This window comes from Homo sapiens, chromosome 5 (assembly GCF_000001405.40).
Source record: "Homo sapiens chromosome 5, GRCh38.p14 Primary Assembly".
In the NCBI taxonomy this organism is placed as follows: domain Eukaryota; kingdom Metazoa; phylum Chordata; class Mammalia; order Primates; family Hominidae; genus Homo; species Homo sapiens.
Genome location: NC_000005.10, coordinates 69700701 through 69712021, shown reverse-complemented (window position 1 = coordinate 69712021; position 11321 = coordinate 69700701). Strand labels below are relative to the sequence as shown.

Here is an 11321-nt window from a genome sequence, read left to right as displayed (position 1 = left end):
AACAGCACCCAGAAACCTTCGACTTTCTATATTTACACAGCTTAATTATCCGAACTGAAACCTGAGGCCATCTGTGTCAACATGATTTCACAATTCATTCCAGAAAATTATTTTTCAGGAAAGTAAGGCTGCAAACCAATAAATAACTTATTGTTTGCTTCAGGAAATTTCTGCAAATCAATTTATGTCAGTAAGCAACTCTCCTCTGGGCCAACAGATTGCTCACCTGGGCAGGTAGCAGCTTGTGTCAATTAACAGTTTACTTATGAAGACTTCTGTCATGGCCCTTAACTCACAGTGTCCCCCAATCCTAAACTCTATGTCCTGAACATTACCTATTCTTATCAGTCATTGGTCTTGAAAGGCCCCGGGCAACCATCTGAGCCCAGACTTCAATACTCTATCAATACCACCTTATCATCTACTTTTCTAACATGACCCCTCAAGGTGGTGACCCCACTTACAGTCGTCTTTTATTGAATTTAGCTTTCCCTAATCAACATGCTAGTCTATTGGATGCAGTGTCAGAGGCAAAAATCACAGAGGTTCTGAAAGCATCAGCCCATGGTTTTCTAAACATCATGGTTCAAGACCCTTAACACGAAACAGAAAGTTTCCCCGAGGCGCCGTAAACAACCCATTTGGGCGCTTCCCTGATAATTATAGTGAAATCTGGCATCTAATTTTTTTTGGTGGACTCTCAAATTTTATATTTATGTTTTGATTCCTAGAAATAAAAAATGTTTTTATAAGGAATTCTTTGATCGTTTATGTTTTATTCTTGATAGAAACCTACTACTTTATAACTTCGTTTATGTTTTACTCTTGATAGAAACCTACTACTTTATAACTTCGAACATTATTGATGTTCTTCCTGTATTTCTGAGAGGTGACAGCTTGCTGGCATCCCTCGCTGGCTCTCGGCGCCTCCTCGGCCTCAGCCCACTCTGGCCGCGCTTGAGGAGCCCTTCAGCCCGCAGCTGCACCGTGGGAGCCCCTCTCTGTGCTGGCTGAGGCCTGAGCGGGCTCCCTCTGCTGGCGGGGAGGTGTGGAGGGAGAGGCGCGGGCCGGAACCTGGGCTGCCTGCGGTGCTCGCAGGTCCAGCGCGACTTCCGGGTGGGCGCGGGCTCAGCGCGACTTCCGGGTGGGCGCGGGCTCGGCGCGCCCCGCACTGTTGAGCGGTCGGCTGGCGCCGCCGGCCCTGGGCAGTGAGAGGCTTAGCACCCGGGCCAGCAGCTGCGGAGGGTGCACTGGGTCCTCCAACAGTGATGGCCCGCCGGCGCCGCGCTCGAATTTTCGCTGGGCCTCAGCCACCTCCCCGCGGGGCAAGGGGGCAGGGCTCGGGACCTGCAGCCTGCCATGCTGGAGCCCTCACCCTCCTCCCCGCCCCCGTCCCCTGCCCCCCGCCCCCCGCCCCCCGCCCCCCAACCGCAGGCTCCCGCGCGCCACCCCGAGGGGACGGGCGCCACCTCCTGCTACGCGGCACCCGGTCCCGTCAACCGCCCAACGGCTGAGGAGTGCGGCAGCGCGCCAGAGACTGGCGGGCAGCTCCGCCCGCGGCCGGGATGCACTAGGCAAAGCCAGCTGGGCTCCTGAGTCCGGTGGGTACTTGGAGAACTTACTACGTCTAGCTGGAGGATTGTAAATGCACCAATCAGCATGCTGTGTCTAGCTCAAGGTATGTGAACGCACTAATCAGTGCTCTGTGTCTAGCTAATCTGGTGGGGACTTGGAGAACTTTTGTGTCTAGCTAAAGGATTGTAAACAGACCAAGCAGCTCTCTGTAAAATGAACCCATCAGCTCTCTATGAAATGGACCGATCATCAGGATGTGGGTGGGGTGAGATAAGGGAATAAAAGCAGCTGCCAGAGCCAGCAACAGCAACGTGCTAGGGTCCCTTTCCACAGTGTGGAGGCTTTGTTCTTTTGCTCTTTGCAGTCTTGCTGCTGCTCACTGTTTGGCTCTGCGCAGAGCTGTAACACTCACCGAGAAGGTCTGCAGCTTCACCCAAAGATATTCCAAAGATACAGAAAACTATATAGAGACATTTTGTATAGTTCTAATAGCATATAATCCACAGGTCCCTGATCTATAATATGGGTTTTTTATAAAATTGTTTTTTTGTATGCTATGAGGAATTTTACTTGTTAAAAAGAAGAGGTGGAAAGGCAGAATATGAAAACTATGAAAATGACATAAGAGACTATGAATTAGGTGAGAAACCAGAGAGGTTTAGAAACCTGTAGACATTGTGCATCCCCCAATGCCTTTCCCCTTAAAAAAAATTATATTCTAATCCAGTCCATCAAATAAAGTCTACGTTCATTAGAAACATATTCTCTTGGTTTTTATAATTTCAGTTTTTTTCAGACACAGATAGTGCATATGCAGATTTGTTACTTTTGTACAGTGCACCCTGGTAGTGAGCATAGTACCCAGTAGGTAGTTATTCAGCCCATGCTCCCCTCTTTCCCCCACCCCCGTAGCCTGCAGCATGTCTTGTTCCCATGTTAATGTTCCTGTGTGCTCAGTGTTTAGGTTCCACTTATAAGTGAGAATGTGTGGTATCTGGTTTTCTTTTCCAGCACTAATTTGCTTAGGATTATGTCCTTAGCTCCATCCATGTTGCTGCAAAGGACATAATTTCATTCTTTTTTATGGAGGCATAGTATTCCATAGTGTATATGTACCACATTTTCTTTATCCAATCCACCTTTGATGGGCACCTAGGTTCATTCCATGTCTGTGCTATTGTGAATAACATGCTGATGAACGTACGAGTGCATGTATATTTTTCTGGTAGAATAATTTATTTTCCTTTGAATATATACCCAGTAATGGGAATGCTGGGTCGAAGGGTATCTCTGTTTTAAGTTCTTAGAGAAATCTCCAAAATACTTTCCACAGTACCTGAACCAGTTTACATTTCCATCAACAGTAGTGTATAAGCATTCCCTTTACTCTGCAGCCTGGCCAACATCTAATTTTTTTACTTTTTAATTATAGCTGTTGTGACTGATGTGAGATGGCATCTTACTGTGGTTTTTGCTTGCATTTATTTATTTGATGATTAGTAAGGATGAGTGTTTTTTCATATACTTGAGTGTCTTCTTTTGAGAAAATATCTGTTCATGTCCTTTGCCTTTTCTTGATTTAAATTTTAAGTTCTGGGGTACATGTGCAGGAAGCGCAGTTTTGTTACATAGATAAACGTGTGTGGTGGTGGTTTGCTGCACCTATCAACCCATCACCTAGGTATTAAGCCCAGCATGCATTAGCTATTTTTCCTGATGCTCTCCCTCTCCTCAACCCCCTACAGAAAATTATAGTGTGTGTTGTGTGTTGTTCCCCATTGTGTGTTGTTCCCCTCCCTGTGTCCATGTGTTCCCATTGTTCAGCTCCCACTTATAAGTGAGAAGATGCGGAGTTTGATTTTCTGCTCCTGTATTAGCTTTGCCCTTTTTAACTGGGGTTGTTTTATGCTTGTCATTTTTTCTTCCTTATGGATTTGTTATATTAGATCTTTATCAGATGCATAGTTTGCAAATATTTTCTCCCATTCTGTAAGTTGTCTGTTTACTCTGTGGATAGTTTCTATTGCTGTGCAGAAGCTTTTTAGTTTGATTGACTTTCACTTGTCAGTTTCGTTTTTGTTGCAATTGTTTTTAGAAACTTAGCCAAAAATTATTTGCCAAGGCCAATGTCGAGAAAAATATTTCCTAGGTTTTGTTTTAGAGTTTTCATAATCTGAAGTCTTACATTTTAACCTTTAATCCATCTTGAATTAATTTGTGTGTATGGTGGAAGGTAAGCATCCAGTTTCACTCTTCTGCTTATGGCTAGCGAATTATCCCAGCACCATTTATTGAATAGGGTGCCTTTTCCCCATTGTTTGTTTTTGTTGGCCTTGTCCACGATCCAGATGGTGGTAAGTGTGCAGCTTTATTTTTGAGTGTTCTATTCTGTTCCATTGGCTTAAGTGTCTGCTTTTGTAACAGTATCATGGTTAGTGTACACTTATAGTATAGCTGGAAATTGGGTAGTATGACGCCTCTCTGGCTTTATTATTTTTGCTCAGAATTGCTTTGGCCATTCTGGCTTTTGGGGGTGTTCCATATAAATTTAGAATAGTTTTTTCTAATTCTGTGAAGAATGATGTTGGTAGTTTCATGGAGATAGCCTTGAATCTACAAGTTGCTTTGGGCAGTGTGGCCATTTTAACATATTGATTCTTTTAATCTGTAAACATGGAATGTTATTCCATTTATTTGTGTTATCAAAATCTCCTTCCTTCCTTCCTTCCTTCCTTCCTTCCTTCCTTCCTTCCTTCCTTCCTTCCCTCCCTCCCTCCCTCCCTCCCTCCCTTCCTCCCTTCCTTCCCTCCCTCCCTCCCTTCCTCCCTTCCTTCCATCCTTCCTTCCTTTTCTTATTTCCTTCCTTTTTTGAGACAGAGTCTCACCCTTTCACCCAGGCTGGAATGCAGTGGAGTTATTATAGCTCACTGCAGGCTTGAACTCCTGGCCTCAAGCCGTCAGGGTAGTTAGGACTACAGGCATGTGCCACCATGCCTCGCTATTTAAAAAAAAAAAAAAAATTTGTATAGATGAGGTTCCACTATGTTGCCTAGGTTGGTCTCAAAACTCCTGGGTCCAAGCGATATACCTGCCTCGGCCTCCCAAAGGCATGAACCACTGCATCCAGCTTCAGATTTCAGCTGTGTTTTGTAATTCTCCTTGTGGAGATCGTTCACATCTTAGGTTAGTTGTATTTGCAGGGATTTTATTTTCATCCTAGGTGTTGTAAATATGATTGTGTTCTTAATTTAACTCTCAACCTGGATGTTGTTGTTGTATAGAAATGCTACTAATTGTTGTACATTGATTTTGTATCCTGAAACCTTGCTAAAATCCTTTATCATTTCTAGTAGACTTTTGTTGAAGTCTTTAAGGTTTTTTAGGTATAGAAGGATATTGTTGGGTGAAGACAGATAGTTTGCCTTAATCTTCACTTCCTATTTGGGTGCTTTTCTCTTTTTCTGTTGCAAGATTGCTCTGACTAGGATTTCTGGTACTATGTTGAATAGGAGTGGTAAGAGTGGATGTCCTTGGCTTGTTTCATTTCTAAAGGAGAATGCTTTCAGCTTTTGCCCATTGAGTATTATATTGGCTGTGGGTTTGTTGTAGATAGCTCTTTTTTATTTTGAAGTATGCTTATTTGAAGCCTCAACTGTTGAGGGTTTTTTTTTGTTTTGTTTTTTCATGAAGGGACACTGGATTTAATTGAAAGCTTTTCCGGCATCCGTTGAGATGATCATATGGTTTTTGATTTAATTCTGTTTATCTGGTGAATCACATTTATTGATTTGCATATGTTGAACCAGCCATGCATCCCAGGAATAAAGCCTGTATTGTCATAGTAGATTAATTTTTTGATATGCTGCTGATGGATTCAGTTTGCTAGTACTTTGTTGAGAATTTTTGAGTCTATGTTCGTCAACAGTGGTCACCTGAATGTTCTTTTTTTTTGCGTCTCTGCCAGGTTTTGGTATTAAGCTGCTTCTGGCTTCACAGCGTGAGTTAGGAAGGAGTACGTTCTCTTCAACTTTTCTGGAATAGTTTCAGTAGAATTGTACTAGTTCTTCGTTATACTTCCGGTAGAATTTTGCTGTGAATCCATATAGTCCAGGGCTTTTTGGCTTGGTAGATTTTTTATTACTTATTCAATTTCAGAGCTTCATATTGGTCTCTTCAGTATTTCAGTATCTTCCTGATTCAATCTTGGAAGATTGCCTGTTTTCAGAAATTTATCCATTTCCTCTAGATTTTCTAATTTTTGTGTCTAGAGTTATTCCTAGTATTCTCTGAGGATTATTTTGTATGTCTGTGGGACCATTTTTAATGTCGTTTTTGTCATTCTGATTTATATATTTAGATCTTCTCTTTTTTTTCTTTGTTTATCTAGCTAAAGGTCTATCAATCTCTTTTTTTAAATCAACTCTTGGTTTCATTAATCTTTTGTATGGATTTTTGCATCTCAATTTCATTCAGATCTTCTCTATTTTAGTTGTTTCTTTTCATTCCTAGCGTTGATGTAGGGTTGTTCTTTTTTTTTTCTTCCCTAGTTCCTTTAGGTGTAGTGTTAGATTGTTAATTTGAAGTATTTCTAACTTTATGATAAAGGCATTTAAACGTTCCTCTTAACACTGATTTAGCTGCATCCCAGAGATTTTGGTAATTTGTGTTCCCATTTTCATTAATTTCACTTTCTTAAAATTTCTCCCTTAATTTTGATTTTCACACAGAAGTTATTCAGGAGAAAGTTGTTTAATTTTCATCTATTTGTGTAGTGTTGAGAGATGTTGGTATTTATTTATATTTTGATTACATTGAGATCTAAGAGTGTGCTTGATATGATTTCATTTTTTAAAATTTATCCAGACTTGCTTTATGACCAAGCATGTGGTCAATGTTAGAATATGTTCCCTGTGCAGATGAGAAGAATGTATATTCTGTGGTTATTGAGTGGAGTGTTCTGTAGATGTCTTATTAGGTCCAGATGGTCAAGGGTGAAGTTTAAGTACACAGTTTCTTCCTTAGTTATCTGCTTTGATGATCCAGTGCTGCCAGCGGGGGTGTTGAAGTCTCCTACAGTTATTGGGTGGTCGTCTGTCTTTTTGTAGTCCAAAAAGAACTTGTTTTATGAATCTGGGTGCTCCATGTTGGGTGCATTTATATTTAGGGTACTTAAGTATTCTTGTTTGATCATATACTTTCTCATGACATAATGCTCTTCATTCTTCAATTGTTCTTTTTAATTTTGATTAAAGTCTGTTTTATCTGATATAAGAATAGTTACTCCTGCTTTTTTGTTATCATTTGCATGGCAGATTTTCTCCATCCCCTTATTTTGGGCCAGTGGCTGTCATTACATATGAGGTGAGTCTCTTGAAGACTGCAGATGGTGAGCCTTGCATTTTTATCCAGTTTGCCATTGTATGTCATTTAAGTGGGGGTGTTTAGCCTATTTACATTTATGGTTAATGTTGATACATGAGATTTTGATCCTATCATCACGTTTGTAGCTGGTTTTTAGGTAGACTTGATTGTGTAGATACTTTATAGTGCCTGTGAGCTATGTACTTAAGTGGGTTTTTGTGGTAGCAGGTGTCATTCTTTTTACTCAATGTATAGCACTCCCTTAAGGACCTTTCATAAGGCTGGTCAAGTTGAAATTGATTCCCTCAGTATTTGCTTATCTGAGGAGAAATTTGTTTCTTCTTCACTTAGGAAGTTTAGTTTAGTGAAATATAAAATTATTGCCTGGAATTTATTTTCATTAATGATGTTGGACATAGGCCCTTAATCTCTTCTGGCTTGTAAGGTTTTTGCTGAGATATTTACTACTAGCCTAGTGGAGTTCTTGCTTTATGAAAACATGACCTTTCTCTCTAGCTGCCTTTAAGATTTTTTTTTTCTTTTGTATTTACTTTGGTGAATATGATGACTGTGTGCCTTAGGGATAGTCACCTTTTATAGTGCCTAGCTGGGTTTGCTGTATTTTTTGGATTTACATGTCACTCTCTCTAGCGAGGTTAGGAAAATTTTCATAGACTCTATTCTCAAATCTATTTTCCAAGTTGCCTTTTCTCTTTGTTTCTCTTCTAGGAATGACAATGAGTCGTAGATTTGGTCTCTTTATATAATTCCATATTTCTTAAAGCTTTGGTTCATTTTCTTTTTTTAATTCTTTTTTAAAATTTTCTTTTGACTCAGTTGATTCAACGAACCAGTCTTTGAGCTCTGAGATTCTTTCCTTAGCTTGGCCTACCTTCTGTTAATATTTCTTACTGTATTATAAAATTCTTATACTGAATTTTTTCTGCTCTAGAAATTCAGTGTGGCTGTTGTTTAAAATGGCAATTTCATCTTTCAGCACTTACTTAGATTGCTTTACTGGATTACTTGGCTAGGGTTTCAACTTTCTCCTTAATGTTCATGAGCTTCCCTGCCATCGAGGTTCTGTATTCTATGTCTGTTGCAATTATTTTAGACTGATTAAGAACCATTGCTTGGTAGCTAGTGGGCTAATTTTGAGGTAAGAGGACACTCTAGCTTTTTGAATTGCCAGAGTTCTTGCACTGATTTTTTCTCTTCTGGTAGGGTTAGTGTTCCTTTAACTGTAGTGTATGTTGAGTATAGGCAATTGGTTTTGTTTCTGGATGCTTTCAAAGGGTCAGGGCTTTCTCTGTCCAGGATTTTTATGTATGAGTAATTCTTGTGTTTGGTTTCACAGGTGTATATGTAGCAGGATAAATTTTGATGTTGTAGTTTGGGATGTGATCCAATGCATAGTGCTTAAGAGTGATGGCCAGTGGCTAGCCTAATACCCAGTGGCATGGCTGTTTTATACTTCCTTTTGTTTGCAGGTGTGCTCTATAGTGGGGGTGGGAGAGATGCCTCCATCACCAGATGTGCTCCTGGGCCCTGGGGGAGTCTCCTGCAATCACTGTGTTTCTTGTGTTAGGTGTTCTAGGCCACAGGTCTCTCTCAGGCAGAGGCCCTTTCCTAGGAGCCATTCTGGGGAACTAGCTGTAGTGTTTGGGTTCCCTGCACAGGCTTCCTCCCTCTTCAGCTCAGCTTCATTGCTGCCTCTGCATCCACTCAGCATTTTCTCTCTCAAGATCTGCCTAAATTACGGTGGTTTACTCCATAATTTGGTATCTCTCAGTGGGGGTGGTGCTTCCTGACCATGTCAAATTGACCATGTATTGTCACAGAATGAAAACCTCTTTGATAGACTTTGTAACATTTTTGAATATTACATTCAGGAGTAAAATCTTACGCAGTGTGATCCCAGCTATCTCTTCACTTTTGAGAATAACCTTAAGTAATTAAAGGATAATTAAATATGTAATTAAAAATGGAAAAATATAACAGCTACACTTCCAGATGTCAACTTCTTTCAGAAAATTTTAAAATCTCTTTAAAGAAAGGTAAATTGAGACCAAAATAGATTAATAGCTTTATAAAAATAAGTGCTCAAGGAGGGTGTTACATGAGAAAATTAAACTTGGAATTTGTCATTTTACCCGTAAAATTACTGAGAGTAATTTCCTTGAAATGGAAATAACTTTACAAATTTTTAATTAACAAAAATGCTGAAATATTACTCCGCTTACCTTTATGTAACCTCTTCCTTGAAAACAACAATTTACTCATCTGGTGTGTGACTCTGATAACCTTCAATCATTCTCTATATCTGACACCATGACTAGTAACTTAGATCTTTAACTAAGCAACCTTTCTTTCCACCTTTGTGATATTATATCTAGTAATTTAATAACAGACAATCTATGTTGCAAATTAAACTTCCAAATTGAATAGTAATTTTCAAATCCCAAGGACCCATTTCTTCTGCCTCAATCTTAATTAGGTCTTAGTTAATAGAAAAATTAACTGGCTGGGTGCGGTGGCTCATGCCTGTAATCCCAGCACTTTGGGAGGCCAAGGTGGGCGGATCACCTGAGGTCTGAAGTTCGAGACCATCCTGGCCAACATGGTGAAACCCCATGTGTACTAAGAACACAAAAAATTGACCGGGTATGGTGGTGGGTGGGTGCCTGTAATCCCAGCTACTCAGGAGGCTAAGGCAGGAGAATCACTTGAACTGGCGGGGTGGAGGATGCAGTGAACCGAGATCCCAGCACTGCGCTGCAGCCTGGGCAGCAACAGTGAAACTCCTCAGAAAAAAAAAAAAAAAAAAAGAAAAAGAAAAAGAAAAAAGAAAATTAACTAAATCAAGCCTAAATAAAACATATTCACAAAGTGGCAGACTTTTTTAATCCAAAAATTTAACTGTATTAATGTCTCATTTACAGAACATTATTTTACAATGAGGTTTTACACATCAATCAGTTGAGTCACTTCTTTTTTTTTTTTGAGATGGAGTCTCGCTCTGTTGCCCAGGCTGGAGTGCAGTGGTGTGACCTCAGCTCACTGCAACCTCCACCTCCTGGGTTCAAGCGATTCTCCTGCCTCAGCATCCTGAGTACAGGCACTACAGGCACGTGAGCAAGAGAAGCTGACAGATTCAAATGTTCACAAACATTTATGTTCTATTTTGATAGATACATAAACTATGTTTCTCATTCTTATATACTTTATATTAGGGCATGGGATTAAAGTCAAAATAGTGGAAAATTAGTAGAAATAACATATTTTATATCCAATTTAGTCTCCAAAATCCCAACATGCACTCTTCTGTATACGTTTTTCAGTATGCTTGACTGGAACGGCCAATTCTACAGTAGTCTTGGAAGCAACATACTGCAGATTAAATACCTTAGTAGCCTATGTTCTTGAATGCGGACATAAAGGAGCAATGCTTTTCCTATCTTAAAAAAACAGTTTATATGAATGAAACTTCTGTTCTGTTTAAGATATTATATGTTGTTGAGTGTAGTTGTCAAAGCAACTAGCACGATTCCAAGTAATATAGAAATCACCAGCTTGAGTTGGGTCTGCCATAACAGCACCTAAAACGTATCCACTAAATTAGTATTAAATGGACAAGTAAACCAAACTCAGAGGGTTGAAATGAAGACTTGTAATACCCAGTGAAAAAAAATTATTGAAACTACCATCTAAAATTAATTGGAAGCTTAATATTACCTCTAGGAAAGAGTGTGGGAAATGAGGAAAGGCAAAAGGTAATGTGTTCATGTTTGTTCTGTTCCATAATCCAAGAAATAGATAAACACAGGCAAAAAAAAAAAAAAAAAAAAAAGAAAAAAGAAATATCCTGTCTTTAGAGTGGAAAGAAAGTGGATAGAGTTGAGTTGCTAAACCTTAGCATTATTGACATTTTATGCCTGATATTCCTGCATTCTGTGGGAGGTTATTCTTTGCATTGTAGGATATTAATAGTATCTTTAGGCTATACCACCACATACCAGTAGCATCACCACCTAATCATTATAATTCAAAATGTCTCCAGACACTGACAAGTGTTCTATGGAAACAAAGTCATTCCTTGTTGGAAACCACTTGTAAACAAAAAGTCTAGTAATGGTGGAATTATACAGTGACAGAAAAGCTCAGGTTTTTCTGATTAGGTTGAAAAAGCTGCTCAGAAATTAAATCCTACTGTGTTCATAAAAAACAAGGAACCCAGCCCTGAAGCAAAGAACTCATCAGGGAAGTTGTTTTCTCTTTCAAGTCTATGATTTCAAATGACCTTAAAGTGGTCATCTTTACAGTCAGAGAAGCATATGTGTGTTGGGGAGGAGAAAAAAGAAGGAAATGAGGCAGACTTTAGAATT

At 39.7% G+C, this 11321-nt stretch overlaps 1 pseudogene across 1 annotated transcript in view, besides 2 other annotated features; it reads left to right on the top strand.

The window, feature by feature from the left end:
- Nucleotides 710-1526: an enhancer, noted in NCBI's record as "NANOG-H3K27ac hESC enhancer chr5:69006323-69007139 (GRCh37/hg19 assembly coordinates)". NCBI's record gives its function as "activates a minimal SCP1, AML or CMV promoter by ChIP-STARR-seq in naive H9 embryonic stem cells {active_cell/tissue: H9 hESC(naive)}" and the evidence as "EXISTENCE:reporter gene assay evidence [ECO:0000049][PMID:30033119]".
- Nucleotides 1495-11321, top strand: part of GUSBP3 (GUSB pseudogene 3) — a 71065-nt pseudogene continuing 61238 nt past the window's right edge. Inside the window, exon 1 of the transcript NR_027386.2 lies at nucleotides 1495-1678. The product of NR_027386.2 is annotated as a GUSB pseudogene 3 (transcript). The remainder of the gene's footprint in view (nucleotides 1679-11321) is intronic.
- Nucleotides 1527-2343: an enhancer, noted in NCBI's record as "NANOG-H3K27ac hESC enhancer chr5:69005506-69006322 (GRCh37/hg19 assembly coordinates)". NCBI's record gives its function as "activates a minimal SCP1, AML or CMV promoter by ChIP-STARR-seq in naive H9 embryonic stem cells {active_cell/tissue: H9 hESC(naive)}" and the evidence as "EXISTENCE:reporter gene assay evidence [ECO:0000049][PMID:30033119]".